Source organism: Homo sapiens, chromosome 14 (assembly GCF_000001405.40).
Source record: "Homo sapiens chromosome 14, GRCh38.p14 Primary Assembly".
Taxonomy (NCBI): Eukaryota; Metazoa; Chordata; class Mammalia; order Primates; family Hominidae; genus Homo; species Homo sapiens.
This window is the reverse complement of record NC_000014.9, coordinates 37658688-37680371: the sequence shown is the minus strand read 5'-3', so window position 1 is coordinate 37680371 and position 21684 is coordinate 37658688. Positions and strand designations below refer to the sequence as shown.

The window sequence follows — 21684 nt, the reverse complement described above, 5'->3', positions numbered from 1 at the left end:
TCTAAAATACATCAGAGAAATTTTTTTAACTCTCTATATAAACATTCAAGCAACAGGAAGCATGCTGTTACTTTAACAGAGGCAAGGAGGATTTTTATTAAAGACTTTACCATTTGCGATTCCTCAGCACCCATCTGGAATTTATACTCTGCTTGTATCTCAGGTGTTTCTGCTTGCATAGGTGATGTTTTGAGGTACATTTTTCCCATTAAAGAAATATCCTTGAATGAGAAAAGGAAACAAAGTGATGCCAATTTTTAAAATCATTGAAGCACATTATTCATTATACTAAAATGCTAGTCAATTTGTGTAGTAAATGAAAAATAGAGACATATAAACTAGTCAATAACACATGGTAAATGAATAAAGAAAAAACAATAAAGTCAGGGTGTGGTGGCTCATGCCTGTAATCCCGGCACTTTGGGAGGCCGAGATGGGTGGATCACCTGAGGTCAAGAATTTGAGATGAGCCTGACCAACATAGTGAAACCCCAACTCTAGTAAAAATACAAAAGTAGCAAGGCATGATGGCACATGTCTGTAATCCCAGCTACTTGGGAGGCTGAGGCAGGAGAATTGCTTGAACCCAGGAGGAAGAGGTTGCAGTGAGCTGAGATCATGCCATTGCACTACAGCCTGGACAACAAGAGGGAAACTCTGTTTAATAAATAAATAAATAAATATAAATTTTTTTTGCCTATGTTTTCAATTTCATGGCTTTTCGCTGATCTCTATAAATATATTTTTAGATTTAACAAGATAATTAGGTAATATTAAGTCAGATGCTATAAAACAATGCTATTAAGTCAGATTGTATAAAACACTGCACAGGAAAGATAAAATCAAAACTAAAATTTAATGCAACCAAGGGCAAGAGGGAATATGCTTAAAACCTCACTGGATGGACTGTTAGTATCATTTTTACCATAGCTAATGACAATTGCAATGATATACTCTCTACTCAGTTGAGATGGCAAGAAGATAGTACACTCCAACTACTAACAATGATGTAGGAATAAAGAGACCCAGGTTCTGTCCATCCAAACTGTGAAGCCACAAATCAGGCATCAACAGGCACATTATTTTGCTTTCCTTCACCTCAGTCTTACTACTTTTTAAATAGGCATTCAACTACATGACTTTTTTTTTTGAAACAGAGACTTGCTCTGTCACCCATGCTGGAATGCAGTGGTGCAATCATAGCTCCCCGTAACCTCAAACTCCTGGGCTCAAGCGTTCCTTTCACCTCAGCCTCCTGAGTGGCATGGACTACAAAGTGCATACCACAACGCTCAACTAATGTTTTTGTTTTTTGTAGAGATGGGGTATCTCTACATTGCCCAGGCTGATCTTGAGCTTGTGGCCTTAAGGAATCCTCCCTCCTTGGCCTCCCAAAGTGCTGGGATTACACAGGCATGAGACACTGTGCCTGGCCTACATGAAATTTTAAGGTCCCTTTTTCTTCTAGCCTTTTAGTAATGTCAACAGCAAGATTCAAACTCCCATTGTACCTTAAAACTCTTATTTTTCTACTTTTTATTTGTTTTATTAAAAGGATCTAATTCAGGCCATTGGCTTCTACTTCTGTCCTCTTGTTATAAATAACTATAAAACTGGACAAAATATTACAGCAACTCTTTTAGGATTTGACAGCAGACAGTGCAGAACTGTGATGACAGAGAATGGAAACAAATAAGGTAAGAGCTACAATTACCTGATTTCTGCCTGACACAATTTCCAGAACATGGCACAAAAAGGCAAAAGCCAAACAGAGCCCAAGTATCTTACTAAATTGAAGAGACAGAAATCAGATGAGAGGAGGACAAAGGGGCTAGAATTTGTAAGGAACAGTGTGGAGATGAGGGCACTGCATAGAGAAAGAGCTCCAGAAATCGGCATAGGGTCCTTGAGGCTTTGGCTGAAAGTCTGCCCATGCAATGGAGAAACCCATGAGGCTAGACAAAGAAACCCTGCCAGGGAAGAAAACAATTACTAAAGAGCTGTAAGTCACAATTCCCAGAGCTCACACAAGGTTGGGATTCATTAGGTCTCCCACCAGACATGCAAGATACGTGGTACATTCATTATAAAGGCCAGAAGGATCATCTGTTAGTAGTCATGCTAAATTAACCCTTGAGTAAAGGTTTCTGTGGACATTAACAATGCTTTAAAATAATTCTTGAAAAAATCAAACTGCTCTTCAAGTAACTTAACTGCCTATCAGAACAAACTCCAACACTCTTTAAAGGAAGTCAGTAAAACCCAATGTAAAATTCATAATGTCCAAAATCCAATCAGAAGTTGCTGGTCACATGAAGAAGCACAAATATATGATACATAACCAGGAAGAAAATCATACAAAAAGACCCAGAAATGATATACATTTCAGAATTAGCAAATAAGGATCTTAAACTTCTAATATAAATATTATAAGTGTTCAACATTAAATAAAAATGTAAGCATAAAGAGGAGCAAATGTAAGAAACAGAATGAAATGTGACATCTATAGATAGAACATACATCATCTAAAATAAAATTCTCACTGAGTGGCATTAACAGAAGAGAAAGACATTGCAGAAGAAAATGTCAGTTAACTTAAAGGCATATCAACAGGAACCATGACAAATGAACCACAGAGAGAAATAAAACTGAAATAAAATGAACAAATACTCAGTCTAACATATATTTAATTGGGGTTCCAGAAAGGGATATGGGGAGTGACTGAAAATATTCACACACAAATGGCCAAAAATTTTCCAAATATCATGACAGCTACAAACCCCCTAAGTTCAATGACCTCTGAGCAGAAACACACAAAGAACACTGCCCCAAGTTCACTGTCAGAATAATAAAAACCACTAATTATAAAAAATCTCTTTATTTGCAAATGAATATGATTACACATATACAGAAAATCAGAAAGAATACAAAAAAAACCTACTAGAGCTAATAAACTAATTCACTAAAGTTGTAGGGTACAGGGTAAATATGTAAAAATAAGTTTTATTTTCAAACAATGAACAATCTATAAACAAAATTAAGAAAACAATTCCATTTAAAATGCCATAAATGAGAATAAAATACTTAGAAATAAATTTAACCAAAAAACCACAAGACTTGTATAAAATATTGCTGAAAGAAATTAAAGAAGTCCTAAATGAAAGGAAAGGCATCTTATGTCCATGGATTAAAAGACTTAATATTGTTAAGATGGCAAGACTCCCCAAAGCTATCTACAGATTCTTTGCAACCCCTATCAAAAAAACAAGGGCCTTTTTTTCAGAAATAGAAAAACTGATCCTAAAATTCATATGGAATTGAAAGTTCCCCTGAATAGGCAAAACAATCTTGAAAAAGAAAAACAAAGCTGGAGGACTCACACTTCCCTATTTCAAAATTTACTATCAAACTACAATAATCAAAACAGTGTGATACTAGCATAAGGATAGACATCTAGATCAATGGAATAAATGTAAGCCCAAAAATAAACTCATCCAACCCATGCTCAATCGACTTTCGACAAAGGTGCCAAAAACATTCAATGGGAAACAAATACACTCTTCAAATGGTGCTGGGGCAACTGAATATCTACATGCAAAAAAATAAAGTTGGATCCCTATCTCAAATGATGTACAAAATTTAACTAAAAATGGGTCAAATACCTGAATGTAAGACCTATAAACTGTAAGATTCTTAGAAGAAAACATATGAATACATCTTCATGACCTTGGATTTGGCAATAGCTTCTTAGATATAACAACAAAAGCATAAGCAACCAAAGAAAAAATAGACAAATTGGATTTTACCAAATTTAAAATTTCTGTGCATTGAGGACACGATGAAGAAAGTAAAAATGCAACCCACTGAATGGGAGAAAATATTTGTAAATCATTTGCCTGACAAGGGTCTAGTATTAGGAATATATAAGGAAGTCTTAGAAGTTAACAAAAAGACCAAAAAAAATTAAAAATGGGCAATGGACTCCTGGCTTTGAAGTTAATAATACTCTTTGGCAATAACACAAGTAGTTTTTAAGGTAGAAAAAAACAACAGAAAGAAGCTTCAAAGGAAATACCCTGATTATTCAGCTTAAGAATTTCACTCCCTTCCTCTTCCTACCAGTTGTAAGTGTCCTGGCCACCCCACTATCTCTGACCATGATCCTCTAACTAATCATTCTTTAGTGTCAACAACTTTGGCATTTCTCAATTAAGCATTTCCCATACAAGAAAAGCAAGTTTTTTCCTCTCAGAATCACCGTCATTAATATCACCACGCAACAGAAAATTGTCTAGTACTCTTTCCTTTGAAAGAGTTTTGACACTAACATACAACAAGAATATTCTGGAAGTCACAGCACTAACTCTCTGCTGTGAATCATAAAACTCTGTGAATTATTTGGTGAAAGTGAGAATATAATCACAGGAGATAGACAACAAATTTTCATTTCTATACAGTCAAAAAATGGGCAAAGTATTTTTGACATTTCTCCAAAGAAGATATACAAAAGCCAACAAGCACATGAAAAGATGACCAACACAAATAATCAGGGAAACACAAATCAAAATCACAGTGAGATACCACTTTATACTCACTAGGATGGCTATAAAAAAAAAAAAAAGAAAGAAAGAAAATAACAAGACTTGACTAGGATGCAGAGAAACTAGAATCCTCGTATGCTGCTACCGGGAATGTAAAATGGTGCAGCCACTGTGGAAAGGTTTGGTGGTTCCTCAAAAACTTGCATACTATTACCAACTGACACAGCAATTCCCCTTTTAGGAATATGCCCCCAAAAAAACTGATGGTAGGTATTTCAATAGATATTTGTACATTGATGCTATAGCAGCACTATTCACAATAGACAAAAAGTAGAAACAAGCCAAATGTCCATTCATGGATGAATGAATAAACAAAATTTGGTATATCCATACAATGGAATACCATTCAACCAACAAAATTAATGAAGTACTGATGTATGCCACGATGTTGGATGAATCTTGAAAACATTACACTAATTGAAAGAAGCTAGACACCACAGGTCACAAATTGTATGATTCCATTTATATGAAACATCCAGAATAGGTAAATCTATAGAAAACAAAGCCAACTTGTTGTTGCCAGGGCCTGTGGGGTATAGGGAATGGCGAATGACTGTTTAACATGTATAGTGTATCCTTTTGGAAGGATGAGATGGTTTTGAAACTAAATGAAGGTGATGGCTGCTCAACATTGCAAATGTTGATGCCACTGAATTGTGTACTGTAAGATGGTTAATTTTACATTATATGAATTCACCTCAGTGTAAAAAAAAAAGTAATTGGATGTGATGAGCACTTGAAAATAGCAGGTACACAACAAATGTCATTTCCCTGCTCCTTAGACATTTTTAACTAACATAGTAGTAAAATTTATACATGATAGTTACTACATTGCCCAGTGACACAAGGATTTATTTCTGTTTGTCTATAGTCTAGTAAAGCCAGAGAAATAAAAAAAAGACATGTAATGTAAAAAAATATTTTACTGACAACAATAATTTTGTTAGTGTTCGATCTAAAGTTTAATAGCAAAGAAACACAAATCGATGTAGAGGTAACAGGTGAGAGTAAAAATAATGCGCTTTATTCAACATTAGGAAATCCATTAATTTATAAGTCAAATGTAAAAACATACAATGATCTTCATGGTACTCTCAAGTGAAAATCACATGGAAGGTGGAATGATAAAGCGGTTGAGCACACGTGCTCTGCTTTTGGCTTCAAATCTTGACTCAGTCACTTTAGGACATTCTCAAGCAAATTATTCAACCTCTCAAGTTTGTAAAATGGGAATAATAATAGCACATACCTCATATGCTTATTATGAGGATTAAATGATATAATACATGCAAACAAAGTGTCTTATACATAATAATAGTTATTGTTCACATTGAAATAAAAAGCAAAATAAGGATGCCTATTGGTACCATCATAATTTGACATTATTCTGGAAATTCTAGATATGAAACAGAAAAGAACATAATTATAAGAAATGAACTAACCACATAACTGTTACTTGAAGAGGCTACTATAATATACCTAAAATTCCCAAAATAATCTGTAGAGTTATTCAGACAGAAAATCAATTCACCAAAACCAAATTCAGAAATTTAGAAAATGAGAAAAGGAACAAAATCATGAAGGTAACAAAAATTATAAACTACCAAAACAGTGCCTTAGGAAATGTCAGGAAAACAAACAAAAAAAAAATGACTGAGACATAAAAATTGACTTGAATCAGAAAATTTGGATTTTGGACTAAAAAAAATCAAAAAGAAAAATTTTAAGTAGCACAATTAGTATTTTGCTTAACATGTATTAATTCTACCTTGTTTCCCTGAGTTATAAACTGTAACTAGTAGTTAATTTCTACATTCTCCACAGAGTCTGCCAAAGTGTTAAACAAATTTTTTTAACTCTGTACACAATTGAAAATTTATAAATCTGTAAGCAATCCAACTTCGCAATCCTGGATACACTTTTTTAATGTGTTTCATAGAGCAGTTTCCACCTATGGCATGTAACAGAATCCAAAATGTCCAAGCTGGAAGGACCTTGAAGGATCAGTAAAACCCAAAGGACACCCAAATTTCACAGACACTGAAACCAAAGCTTTGAGGCTTAAAGGGTGCTGTTTAGTATTCAAAACAAACAGACCACATGGTCTTTCCCCTACACTGCTTGAAGCAGATGGACAGCAACAGAAGCCGCAGTGTTCCTGTGGCCTGTTAGGCAGGCCCAGTATTTTCTCAATCATCATTAAAAGGAGGAGTAGAGAGAGCAGCTGCCCTCTACTCTTCATCATGCAATCCAGGTTCTCCCCAAATGACACTGGCCCAAATAGCATAGGCCAAAAGAGTGTTTCTAAAATATACCCTTTTATGATTTCATCAGCACTTAGTCAAGCTGCACTGCCTTTAGATAACTTACTGTAAAGTTCAAGGTTTAGAAAGAAGGAAAGAAAAGGCATTGTATGGCCCTAAACAATATTTGTCCACACAGGTAACTTTCTTGAGAAACTGTCCTGATCTGCATTAACTTTCTCTTGCTTCCTGCAGGCAAAACCCTGATGGCACTGGCCTGTGGAATCCTCCTTACAGGCAGAAGAATGTATCAGGGCTGCTTGACATCCGTTCTTACCCCTGTGACTCTTTAAATTAAACATTTATATGATTGTTCTGGGTGACTGGACCCTGTATTCCATAGACCTGTTGGCTCTAAAAATGTGATTTGATAAAGAAAAAAAATGGAATTTGAACAGCTGCCATATAAATTTAAACATCAAAATTGCTACAGGCACTATCTATAACTAAATGTGTATAGCATCTTTTATGCAAAGTCCTAACAGAACATAGTCCATTACTTAAACCTGTTCAAAAACTATAGTAGTTCCAGAAACATAACATTATTGGGTTTCAAGTAAATTCTACTTTTTATAATATCACTTCTCTGATAGCTACCCTATAGAAGAAAACTACAGTGCTTTTAGTAAAAAAAAAAAAAAAAAAATGAGGAATTCATGAAAAGCTTGCTTAAATCAAGTCATCAAAAATAGATGCAATGCAATCAGAAAAAAATGTTTCCAGAATATGATAATGCCTATGGTTGGGCAATGCACTATTCTTTATTCCTTGACATTCATACTAGAAAAGACAACAAAAAATCCAGACTTTTCGTTTCAGAAGGCTATGGAGAAATCTAAGTTAATATGCCTGATTCTAGGTTATAGCATCTGATATTTCAAGTATGACATCCCTTTGAATTATGTACCAACTGTTGAGTGAGTTATGACAAGCTATGCAAGCAGCACTGTTGCCACAGCACTCCAGGGCTAGGAATCCAAGAGAAATATAAGTCAAGATTCTTTCCCTGAAGAAGTTTCAGTTAGTTAGAGAGATGAAAACAACAGACGAAGAATAATGTTTTTCAAAATGCAAAGCAGTAAATTTAATCAAGCATAATTATTATGTACAGGCTCCAAGTTCAATAGGAATCTAATTTATTTAGAGAGATGAGGATAAGAGTATAAATATCAGAGGATGTACCAGTTTTAGTTACACTAGTGAAAAATAAATGTGAAGAAGAGCTGGGTTCTGGGTCAAGGGATGGAGGGAGGGGAAATGCAGTTCTTATCTCATGTTTTAATATAAGATGACATGAAAATAATTATGCATCTATATCAATGAATTTTGAAAGTTAATATGCCTCTTTTGTTTATTTAGTCAACAGTATTCCATAAAACTAAAATTCCCAAGACACAAACTGAGTGTATTAGTCTGTTTTCACACTCCTATAAAGAACTGCCCAAGACTGGGTAATTTGTAAAGTAAAGAGATTTAACTGACACAGTTCTGCATGGCTGGGGAGCCCTCAGGAAACTTACAATCATGGTGGAAGGTGAAGCAGGCACCTTCTTCACAAGGCAGCAGGGCAGTGTGAGCACACAGGAAAAAATACCATTGATAAAACCATCAGATCTCATAAGAATTCACTCACTATCATGAACAGAATGAGGAACCGCCCCCATAATCCAATCATTTCCCTTCCTCACCACATAGGGATTACTGGACACTCCCTCGACATGTGAGATTACGGTTAAAGATGAGACTTGGGTGGAGATACAGAGCCAAATCATATCACTGAGGAAGGATGGAAACATATTTGCTATGTCTTCTCAAATGACACTACATCTCAAAAACACTGTTTTTGCTGTTCCTGAATCAAACAATAAATTCCATTAATTTTCTTACATGTTTTCTATTGTAAAACCGTTCAAAATGTTAACTAATATTAACTAATATAAAATTCAACAAATTAATATGTGTTCACCTATCCTGATGTTCAACAAAAACATCTGTAGTACCACTTGCAGATCTTATTTCAAAAAGGCTCTAGTAGCTATTGTCCAAGATGATCCCCAATGATTCCCACCTCCTGAATGGTCACCTCCTCAATGAATAGGGCAGACCTGTGTAATCAATAAGATATAGCAGAAATTACAGTGTGTGGCTATTTCAAAAAAAATATGGCAAGTTCCGCATTGCCCTCTCTGGATCACTCATTCTAGGGGAAGCCATCTGCCATGTGATAACAACACTTAAGCAGTCCCATGGGGAGGTCTCCTGCCAACAACCAGCACCAAATTGCCAGTCTTATGACTGAGGCATCCTGGGAGCAGATCCCTCAGTCTCAATCAAGTCTTCAAACGACAGCAGCCCCAGACAAGATCTTGACACAAGCCCACAGGCTAGAATTACATAGATAAGTTGCTCCTAGATTCACTACCCATAAAAACTGTGTGAACTAAATGTTCATTGTTTTAAGCTGCTAAATTTTGGGGTGATTTGTTGCACAGAAATAAATAACTTTAAAAAGGCTCTAAAACTCTAGCTCTTCAGATATTTCATGGCATTTCCTAAAGAACCTAAAATCTCAAAATCTCATAATTTTTATTATTTAGGTATGTGTTTCTTCATTATTACCTATTATTGCATAATTTTTCTTAGCCTTTTTAAAAGATACATATTGCTTTACAAACCCATTAAAAAGTGAGGTAGTTTGGCTCAGCACAGTGGCTCACACCTGTAATCCCAGCACTTTGGGAGGCTGAGGCAGGCAGATCACTCTAGGTCAGGGGTTCCAGACCAGCCTGGCCAACATGGTGAAACCCCATCTCTACTAAAAATACAAAAATTAGCCGGGCATGATGGTGGATGCCTGTAATCCCAGCTACTCGGAAGGCTGAGGCACCAGAATTGCTTGAACCTGGGAGGTGGAGGTTGCAGTGAGCCAAGATTACGCCACTGCACTCCAGCCTCGACAACAGAGGGAGACTAAAAAAAAAAAAAAAAAAAAAGTGAGGTAGTTTGTGCTAGATCCTTAGGAAAAATGCAAAGTACATGTGTTAACAAAACATACTGTGTAATAGTTAATATGCCCTCCTTTGTCCCACATAATTATCCCAAATATCACGAAATGTATTTAATCACGTAACATTTCACTATATTGTCAGTAACTTTGAAAGACACATTCCATGTGTCATTGCTACAGTATTTGTGAAAACTATGGAATTACAGAAAATTAAAGAGCTTTCTGTAGGCAAGACTTGTCATAAGCCCACAACAAGAACATAGTTCTTTGTCCTATTATTAAACAAAGCCAATGAGAGAAACTCTGTAAGTCCCCTAACAAACAGAAATCTGTATTTAATAACATCTAACCTATGTTTATATTTTAGGGAATACATATACCTTCCCTAATTAAGATGAAGAGTGATTGATTCATATCACCTGTGAAAGAGCATTAATAATCAGCCATCAGTCATCTCTTCTCCATACTAAATTCCATCTCCTCCAAATTTTTCTCGTATGGATCTGGGAGAGGAAATGATAAATTTTAAGAAGAATCCATAAGAATATTCTCTTAAGCCTCCTAATCTCACAGAGGATTTAATAACATAAATAAATACTTCAATAATAAAATTCAGAGCCTCAAGAGTAAGCATATTTTTGTTTACATCATTCAACAAATATTTATTTATAGAGTGACTTCTAAGTCCAAGGAATTATATGAGGTGATGTGAAGGATGAAAAAGCAAAAGATAAATAATCTTGCCTCCAGATTATGGTCTTATAAAACAAATTCAGCATTCATTTGATCCATCCTACTAAAAATAGAAAGACAAAAGTCTATTATGATCACTAAGGTAGTCACAGCCTAGATGAACATATATATTGATGTGTAGATAAATAACAATAATACATGTCGTAAGAGAGGCACAAAGTAAACTTGTACCAAGGAGTTCGGGCAAGGAAGGGGAATATTATATTTAGAATAGAAGGCAGCACTTCCTTAAAATAGTTCTTAAGAAAGAAGTAGAAACTAAATGTGTCCAGTGGATACAAAGAGAACTGCAAGTGGAGAAACACTCCTTAGATTGATTTTGAGATCCTTTCTCTTCCCCTGGGGCAGGTGCACACGTGCCACTTACTGTACTCAAACAGGGTTAGGATGGAAAGCATCTTCACATTGGCTCCCTCACTCCCCATCCCCAGATGCACTTCCAAGGGGTAGTGATGAGCCCCATGGTTGTGTGCTTATTTGGTTCTCTAACATGGTTTTGCTCACAGCCAGATTCTAATTCAAAAAGGAAATCACTCCATTAATTTCATTTATATGAAGGTGTGGAAACTTTTACCACATTATTCACTTCTTTCATTTCTCTTCTCTCACTTTGCAAGAAAGACAATCTTTGGGCAGAAGCAATGAGATTATTCAAGTTATCAAGCTATTCAGTCAAGGTTTTCAGTTGGAAGCATCAGAAACAGACTCTTATCATGTAGGTGGTATGGAAAGGCTGTCTGGATTAACAGAATCAGTGAGGGAAGGACCAAAGAAGTCACAGAACCAAGAAGCAAGAGACATCACGACAGTCTTTAAGCAATAATAAACTTTCCAAGCTTCCTCATGACTCAATGACCTGGAATGAATCCTTATCATCCCTTTCATAAACAGACATGGTATGTTCAGGAAATTTTAAAATTCAGTGGATTGCTGGTGTGGTAAATTTTGTATTAACAGCCTCAATTTTTCACCTCTCACTCTGTCCACACCTTTTGCCATGTGACTTTGCAGATTTTTTCCATCAAGAGGCAAAGTTTATTTTTCTGCCTCCTGACTCTGGATGTATCCATGAGTCTCTGGATTTATCCATTTTATTGCTTTAGCCAGTAAAATGGGCCAAAAGTAACGATGCGCCAATTCCTACCCTAGGACTCAAGAGCTTGCAGGTTGCTCTTTTGAACTTCTTCTGTTACTATGAGAAGTGCATGCCTAGTCAATCCACTAGTTCCAGGGGGATAAAATTGCATGGAGGTCTCTGGTCTAAATGTGCCACATGGAACAGAGCTGACCAAGCTAAAGTCTCCAGCCAGAATAGAACCCAGCCTAGATTAGCTGACTCCAGCCAATCCACAAAGGTGAGAGCTATAGTAATATTGTTTGGTACTAAGCCCTTAGTTTTGAGAGTTTGTTACATAGCATTAACTGACTGATACAACTGGTGAATAGATTAGAAGGAAAAAGAAAAAAATAATGCTAGTAAGGTCAAATTATGAAGAACCCTCTATGCTATCTACGGTTTGGAATTCGACTATATCCTGCAGTCAGGAGGTATCCAGCCAAATTTTTTTTTTTTTAGATGAAGTCTCACACTGTCGCCCAGGCTGGTGTGCAGTGGCATGATCTCAGCTCACTGCAACCTCTACCTCCCAGATTCAAGCGATTCTCCTGCCTCAGCCTCCCAAGTAGCTGGGACTACAGGTGTGTACCATCATGCCCGGCTAATTTTTGTATTTTTAGTAGAGATGGGGTTTCACTATGTTGGCCAGGCTGGTCTTGAACTCCTGACCTCATGATCCACCCGCTCAGCCTCCCAAAGTGCTGGGATTACAGGTGTGAACCACCATGCCCGGCCCCAGCCAAATTTTAAAATAAATTAATACTAGTGTCTGGTGAATAAACTTTAGTGGAGGTAAAAACTGAAAGTTGGTCGTGAAGACACTGTAAGGATCCAAGTGAAAGCTGGTAAGAGCCTAACTTAAGGCACAGACAGTGGAAATAACAATATCTACTTATAAACACCCCTTATTCTCATTCTTCATCTTTTAAGGTATTCTTACAGATCAAAAGAAAAGATTAATAAAAATAACCCTAACGTTTTTTAAATATAGGGAGCCCTGTCTTGAGTCTAAATGGGATTCAAACATGTTTGGTGCATGTCTGACAATGTCTGACAGGACAGACTTTTCAAAATCTCATTTGCATGAGTAATGGAGAGTTACTTGGGAAAACATCCCAATGAATGAAGAAGTTAAGCTTGATGAGCAGAGCCCCATACGAAAACCTTGGTCTTCTGGGAAAGGGTGCGATTCCATCTCTCTGATCTGTCTCCATTTCCACCCCAATGACATTCACATCCGATTCATAGTATTAATGTGCTGGGCAGGGGGTGGGGAACCAGAAAATGAGAACGTGGGTAGTATAAGTGAAATAAGAAATAATTGATTAACTTAAAACTGTCCCACTAAGACATGAAGAGGAGTCCTTCTCCCCCAATCTAATCTCCCTGTCCCAAGCAGGGCTGACTTACCCAGTAGACTCGGTAGGCACAGTGCCTAGGGCCCGTGATATTTTAAGGACCCACAAAAATGTTTTATTTTTAAATTATTTTAAAATCAAAAGAAAACAGCATGGTTTATAAAAGTAAAAAATTAGATACAATAAATGTCCAATAATAGAGAATGAGTTAAAGAAATAAAAATAAAAAATCAGAAGAAAAATAGATATAGTAATAATGAACATATAATAATAAAATCAGCCTGGATAATATTTACTTTTATACCACCATAGTCATAAAATTTTTTTTCAGTATTTTTATGGTAAGAAGTGCCCCCAAAGGCAAAAGTGCTTGAGGCCCACCAAAGTCAAAATGCATCCCTGGTCCCAGCCCACAGTGTAACTTTGGAACCCTGAGAGCCCTGAATTGCTGTGGACCTTACCAGGACAGGGGTTGGGTAACTGTCTTTCCCCCACCTATCCCCTCAAAGGATATGTGTAATAAATTACAAAAAGGGGGTAAATTTCACAGATTGAGCAAACAAGTTTTGAGGGTATCTTTCCTTACTTCCCATCCCTTTCTCTCCTAAGGGAGTTAATGGGCAGTTTGACAAAAGAGCCACCCTCTGAGAGAAGCAAGAAATCTCCTCGGTGGCCTAACCAGGCACTCTACCTGCATCGCTCCAGGAAACTGCTATGACACTGGAAAATTAAGAATATTGAAACTATACTTTACATCCATGGCTTTCATCTTTTTTTTTTTTTTTTGAGACAGGGCCTCACTATGTTGCTCAGGCTGGTCTCAAATTTCTGGGCTCAGGTGATCCTCGCACTTCAGCCACCCAGAGTGCCGGGATTACAGTGTAAGCCACTGAGCCTGGCCACTTTCAACTTTTTTAAATGGTAGGACCTATCTGTCAAACAAACTCATACTTGGAGGCCCAGTGTATAAAGCAGATCGATGGGGAATGTTGCAGTCAGGTGAAGGCTGATGGAGGGTGCTGGAAGGACCACAGCCATGAAGGCCAATGGAGGGTGCTGGAAGGACCACAGCCCACCCACTCATTCCTGCCCTCACCCCTCCACAGGACCCAAGGACTCTCTGAAACACTAGAAATCACTGCTTTTGCAAGTTGCAGTATAATATAGATGGATGATCTAAAATCAAATTTACACTTAGAATCATTTCATGTGTTAAGTTGTTTAGTGATCCTATATTCATTTAGCTCCCATAGGGTAAACTCTGTATTTTGGAGGTAGAAGAGGGGAAAGAAGTAATGCTAAATCAAGGCTCTGGTGTGTGCATGAGAGGACAAGCTTGATTTAGCTGCTTTCAGGTCACTCTCAGTTCCTGGTGCAGCCTTGGAGTCTGAGTATCTCATCACAAAGAGTGTGATTCTGGTCTTAAGGAGAGGTACAGTCCCTAAATATTAAGCAGACAGTTCATCACAAGCTCAGCTTGGCCCTGCTTAACTTGCTTGTGTTCTTCTCACATAGCCCTTTTTCTTCAAGATGCTCAAGGTTAATTTTGCCAGTTCATCATTTTTTTCCTTCAACTTTTATTTTAAGTTCATGGGTACATGTGCAGGACGTGCAGGTTTGTTATACAGGTAAACGTGCCACGGTGGTTCGTTGCACAGATCATCTCATCACCTAGGTATTAAGCCCAGCATCCATTAGCTGTTCTTCCTGGTGCTCTCCCTCCTGCCATACCCACTGACTGGCTCCAGTGTGTGTTGTTCTCCCTCAATGTGTCCATGTGTTCTCATCATTCAGCTCCCACTTATAAGTGACAACATGTGGTGTTTGGTTTTCTGTTCCTGCATTAGTTTGCTGAGGATAAAGGCTTTCAACTCCATCCATGTCCCTGCAAAGGAGATGATCTCATTCTTTTTATGGCTGCATAGTATTCCATGGTATATATATACCACATTTCCTTTATTCATTCTATCATTGGTGGGCATTTAGGTTGATTCCATGTCTTTGCTATTGTGAATAGTGCTGCAATGAACATTTGCATGCATGTATCTTTATGGTAGAATGATTTATATTCTTTTGGGTATATACCCCGTAATGGGATTGCTGGGTCAAATGGTATTTCTGCCTCAAGCTATTTGAGGAATTGCCACACTGTCTTCCACAATGGTTGAACTAATTTATACTCCCACCAACAGTGTAAAAGTATTGCTTTTTCTCCACAACCTCTCCAGCAACTGTTGTTTTTTGACTTTTTAATAATAGCCATTCTAACTGGCATGAGATGATATCTCATTGTGGTTCTGATTTTCATTTCTCTAATAATCAGTAAGGTTGAGCTCTTTTCCATAAGTTTGCTGGCCACAAGTATGTCTTCTTTTGAGAAATGTCTGCTCATGTCCTTTACCCACTTTTTAATGGGGTTGTTTGTTTTTTTCTTGTAGATTTAAGTTCCTGATAAGCTCTGGATATTGGACTTTTGTCAGATGGATAGATTGCAAAAATTTTCCCCAATTTTGTAGGTTGTCTGTTCACTCTGATTATAGTTTCTTTTGCTGTGGAATAGCTGTTTAGTTTAATTAGATCCCATTTGTCAATGTTTGCTTTTGTTGCAATTGCTTTTGGCATTTTCATCTTGAAATCTTTGCCCATACCTCTATCCTGATGATACTGCCTAGATTTTCTTCTAGGGTCTTTGTAGTTTGGGGTTTTACATTTAAGTCTTTAATCCATCTTGAGTTAATTTTTGTATATGGTGTGAGGAAAGGGTCCAGTTTCAATTTTCTACATATGGATAACCACTTCTCCTGGTGCCATTTATTAAATAGGGATTCTTTTCTCCATTGCTTCTTGTTGTCAGCTTTGTCAAAGATCTGATGGTTGTAGGTGCGACGTCTCATTTCTGAGCTCTCTATTCTGTTCTATTCATCTATGTGTCTGTTCTTGTACCAGTACCATGCTGTTGTGGTTACTGTAGCCTTTAGTATAGTTTGAAATTGGGCAGTGTGATGCCTCCAGCCTTATTCTTTTCACTTAGGATTGCCTTGGCTACATGGGCTCTTTTTTTGTTCCACATGAGCTTTAAAATAGCTTTTTCTAATTCTGTGAAGAATGTCAATGGTAGTTTAATGGGAATAGCATTAAATCTATAAATTACTTTGGGCAGTATGGCCATTTTCACAATATTGATTCTTCCTATCCATGAGCAAGAAATGTTTCTCCATTTGTTTGGGTCATCTCTGATTTCTTTGAGCAGTGGTTTATAGTTCTCCTTGAAGAGGTCCTTCACTTCCCTTATTAGCTATAGTCCTAGGTATTTATTCTTTCTGTAGCAATTGTGAATGGGAGTTCATTCATTATTTGGCTCTCTGCTTGCCTGTTGTTGGTGTACAAGAATGCTAGCAACTTTTGCACACTGATTTTGTGTCCTGAGAATTTGCTGAAGTTGCTTATCAATGTAAGAAGCTTTTGGTCTGAGACAACAGGGTTTTTTAAAGTAAGTGCTGATTTGGGAACATGACCTCCTCATCACATGAACCTCATACTAACTTTCATCATAGCAGTGTTTGATTTTTCAAAGACAGCCAACTGTGACACAACACCAATATTTTCTCAAAATCTTTGTAACTGGCATAACTAATAAGGTAAAAAAGTTTGAATTTGATAGTATGAGTAGGATAATTGGGGATGAACACTTCAAATTAACTCACAAATCTTGATAACTTATCATAATAAATAATGTTTAAAAAAATGTAACTGTGCAATACAATGATTGATTACATTTTTGTAAGGCAAAAGACCCAAATTTTAGAGTGAAAGCACAGATATATTCTCAAAAACATCATTTGAGTTTCCACAGTCATTTAATTTTGTATACATTTCAAAAATGAAGGTGAAATAAAGACTTTTTCAGTATATCTAGAAAAACCCATAATCTCAATCCAAAAGCTCCTTCAGCTGACAACTTCAGCAAAGTTTCAGGATACACAATCAACGCACAAAATTCACCAGGAATGTACAAAAATCACCAACAACAGTCATGCCAAGAAATAAGCCAGGAATGCAATCCCATTCACCGTTACCACAAAAAAAATAAAATGCCTAGGAATACAGGAATACAGCTAACCAGGGAGGTGAAAGAGCTCTACAATGAGAATTACAAAACATTGCTCAAAGAAATCAGAGATGACAAAAACAAACGGAAAAACATTCCATGCTCATGGATAAAAAAAAAATCAATATCATTAAAATGGCCATACTGCCCAAAACAATTTGCAGATTCAATGGTATGACTATCAAACTATTAATGACATTCTTCACAGAACTAGGGAAAAACTATTTTAAAATCCACACGGAACCAAAAAAGAGCCCAAATAGCCAAGGCAATCCTAAGCAAGTTGCTACCCAACTTCAAACTATACTACAGGGCTACAGTAAACAAAACTGCATAGTACTGATACAAAAACAGGCACATAGACTAATGAAACAGAATAGAGAGCCCAGAAATATGGCCACACACCTACAACCATCTGATCTTCAACAAAGCTAACAACAAGAAGCGATGGGGAAAGGACTCCCTATTCAATAAATGGTGCTGGGAGAACTGGCTAGCCATATGGAGAAGACTGAAGCTGGACCCCTTCCTTTCACCATATACAAAAATCAATTCAAGACAGAGTAAAGACTTAAATGTAAAATCCAAAACTATAAAAACCCTAGAAGACCACGATCAAGTTGGCTTCAGTCCCAGGATGCAAGGCTGGTTCAACATACGCAAATCAATAAACGTAATTCATCATATAAACAGATCTAAAGACAAAAACCATGTGATTATCTCAATAGACGCAGAAAAGGCCTTAAATAAAAGTCAACATATCTTCATGTTTAAAACTCTCAATAAACAAAGTATTGAAGGAACATATCTCAAAATAATAAAAGCCATTTATGATAAACCCACAGCCAATATCATACTGAATGGGCAAAGCTGGGAGCATTTCCTTTGAAAACTGGCACAAGACAAGGATGCCCTCTCTCACCACTCCTATTTAACATAGTATTGGAAGTTCTGGCCAGGGCAATCAGGCAAAAGAACAAAATAAAGCATATTTAAATAGGAAGGGAGGATGTCAAATTGTCTTTGTTTGCAGATGACATGATCCTATATCTAGAAAACCCCATCTTCTAAGCCCAAAAGCTTCTTAAGCCGATAAGCAACTTCAGCAAAATCAGTGCGCAAAAATTGCTAGCATTCCTGTACACCAACAACACACAAGTGGAGAGCCAAATCATGAATGAACTCCCATTCACAATTGCTACAAAGAGAATAAAATACCTAGGAATACAGCTAACAAGGGAAGTGAAGGGCCTCTTCAAGGAGAACTACAAACCACTGCTTAAGGAAACCAGAGAGGACACAAGCAAATGGAAAAATATTCCATGCTCATAAGAAGAATCAATATCGTGAAAATGGTCATACTGCCCAAAGTAATTTATAGATTTAATGCTATTCCCATTAAACTACCATTGAAATTCTTCACAGAATTAGAAAAAAACTATTTTAAAGTTCATATGGAACCAAAAAAGAGCCCATATAGCCAAGACAATTCTAAGAGAAAAGAACAAAGCTGGAGGCATCTTGCTACCAGACTTCAAACTATACTATAAGGCTGCAATAACCAAAACAGCATGGTACTGGTACAAAAACAGACACATAGACCAATGGAACAGAATAGAGAACTCAGAATTAAGATAGTACAGCTACAAGCATCTAATCTTCAACAAACCTTACAAAAACAAGCAATGAGAAAAGGATTCCCTATTCAATAAATGGTGCTAGGAGAACTGGCTATCCATTTGCAGAAAATTGAAACTGGACCCCTTCCTCAAACCTTGGATGGATTAAAGATTTAAATGTAAAATCCCAAACTATAAAGATCCTAGAAGAGAATCTAGGCAATACCATTCAGGACATAGGCATGGGCAAAGATTGTATGGCAAAGACATGAAAAGCAATTGCAACAAAAGCAAAAATTGACAAACGGGATCTAATTAAACTAAAGAGCTTATGCACAGCAAAAGAAACTGTCATCAGAGTGAACAGGCAACCTACAGAGTGGGAGAAAATTTCTGCAATCTACCTATCCAACAAAGGTTTAATATCCAGAATCTACAAAGGAACTCAAACAAATTTACAAGAAAAAAACAAACAACCCTATTAAAAAGTGGGAAAAGGACATGAACAGACATTTCTTAAAAGAAGACATTCATGTAGCCAGCAAACATATGAAAAAGGCTCAACATCACTGATCATTAGAGAAATGCAAATCAAAACCACAATAAGATACCATCTCATGCCAGTCAGAACGGCCAGTATTAAAAAGTCAAGAAACAACAGATTCTGGCACAGCTGTGGAGAAATGGGAACGTTTTACACCATTGGTGGGAGTGTAAATTAGTTCAACCATTGAACAGTGTGGCAATTCCTCAAAGATCTAGAACCAGAAATACCATTTGACCCAGCAATCCCACTATGAGGTATATACCCAAAGCAATATAAATCATTCTATTACAAAGGTACATGCACACAAATGTTCACTGCAGCACTGTCCACAATAGCAAAGACATGGAATCAATCTAAATGCTCATCAGTGATGGACTGGATAAAGAAAATGTGGTACATATACACCATGGAATACTACGCAGCCAGGCTGGAAGCCATTATCCTCAGCAAACTAACGCAGTAATAGAAAACCAAATATACCACATATTCTCAGTTGTAAGTGGAAGCTGAACAATAAGAACACATGGACACAGAGAGGGGAACAACACACACTGGGGCCTGTCCAGGGGTGAGGTGTGGGGGAGAGCATTAGGAAAAATAACTAATGCATGATGGGCTTAATACCTAAGTGATGGGTTGACAGGTGCAGCAAACCACTGTGGCACACGTTTACCTACATAACAAACCTGCACATCCTGCACACGTATCCCAGAACTAAAAATTAAAATTAAAAAAAAAACCCTGGAAGACAACCTAGGCAATACCATCCTAGACATAGGAACGGCCAAAGATTTCATGATGACAATGCCAAAAGTAATTGCAGCCAAAACAAAAATTGACAAATAAGATCTAATTAAACCTAAGAGCTTCTACACAGCAAAGGAAATTATAAACAGAGTGAACAGACAACCTACCGAATGAGAGAAAATTTTTGCAAACTATGCATCTGGCAAAGGTCTAATATGTAGCATCTATAAGGAACTTAAACAAATTTCCAAGAAAAAGCAAACGGCTCTATTAAAAAGTGGGCAAATGACATGAACAGACACTTCTCAAAAGAAGACACAGATGCAGCCAATGAGCTTATGAAAAAAAATTTACTAACCATTAGAGAAACGCAAATCAAAACCACAACGAAGGCCAAGCGCGGTGGGTCACATCCGTAATCCCAACACTTTGGGAGGCCAAGGTGGGCGGATCACCTGAGGTCAGGAGTTCGAGACCAGCCTGACCCACATGGAGAAACCCTGTATCTACTAAAAATACAAAAATTAGCTGGACATGGTAGCATGTGCCTGTAATCCCAGTTGTTCGGGAGGCTGGGCAGGAGAATCGCTTGAACCTGGGAGGTTGCAGTGAGCCAAGATTGTGCCATTGCACTCCAGCCTGGGCAACAAGAGTGAAACTCCATCTCAAAATTAAAATAAAATAAAATAAAATAAAATAAAACGACAACGAGATACCATCTCATATCAGTCAGAATGGCTATTATTAAAAAAGTCGAAAAAATAACAGATGCTGGAGAGGTTGTGGAGAAAAAGGAACACATATACACTGTTGGCAGGAGTGTAAATTAGTTCAACTATTGTGGAAAGCAGTGTGGCAATTCCTCAAAGAGCTAAAAACAGAACTACCATTCAACCCAGCAATCCCATTTAGGTTGTTACATACCCAGAGGAATATAAATCATTCTACCATGAAGATACATGCACACAAATGTCCATTACAGCACTATTAACAATAGCAAATACATGGAATCAACCTAAATGTCCATCAATGGTAGAGTGAATAAAGAAAATGTGGTACGTATATACCATGAAATACTATGCAGCCATAAAAAAAAATAATAAGATCATGTCTTTTGTGGGAGCATGGATGGAGCTGGAGGCCATTATCCTTAGCAAACGAATACAGGAACAGAAAAACAAATACCACATATTCTCACTTGTAAGTTGGAGCTAAATTACACAAAGGAAGGAACTCATGGACACAAGGGAGCAACAGATACTGGGGCCTACTTGAGGGTGAAGGGTGGGAGGAGGGAGAGGAGCAGAAAAAAATAACTATTGAGTACTAGGCTTAGTACCTGGGTGATGAAATAATCTGTACAACAAATCCCCATGACGTGAGTTTATCTGTATAATGAACCTGCATACGCACCCCTGAACCTAAAATAAAAAAATTTTTAAAGGCTTTTTCAGACATTTTACTTACCCAGGACTTTTCTTTTCTTTCTTGTTTAAATGTATGGTGTGTAAATGTAGTTTTTGC

The 21684-nt window shown here is 37.1% G+C and overlaps 1 protein-coding gene across 13 annotated transcripts in view; it reads right to left on the bottom strand.

Annotated features, from left to right (window-relative positions):
* Window positions 1-21684, bottom strand: part of TTC6 (tetratricopeptide repeat domain 6) — a 247089-nt gene that overhangs the window by 162346 nt on the left and 63059 nt on the right. For 12 of the 13 annotated variants that reach the window (XR_007064009.1, XR_001750287.2, NM_001310135.5 and 9 more), the window contains one exon: window positions 111-221. Coding sequence is in view for 11 of the 13 variants with exons in the window: in NM_001310135.5 (NP_001297064.2) it covers window positions 111-221 (111 nt within the window). In the remaining 2 variants the exon portion in view is untranslated. Of the gene's footprint in view, window positions 1-110; window positions 222-10330; window positions 12270-21684 lie in introns of those variants that run through there. The other variant, XM_017021256.2, reaches the window with a different exon arrangement.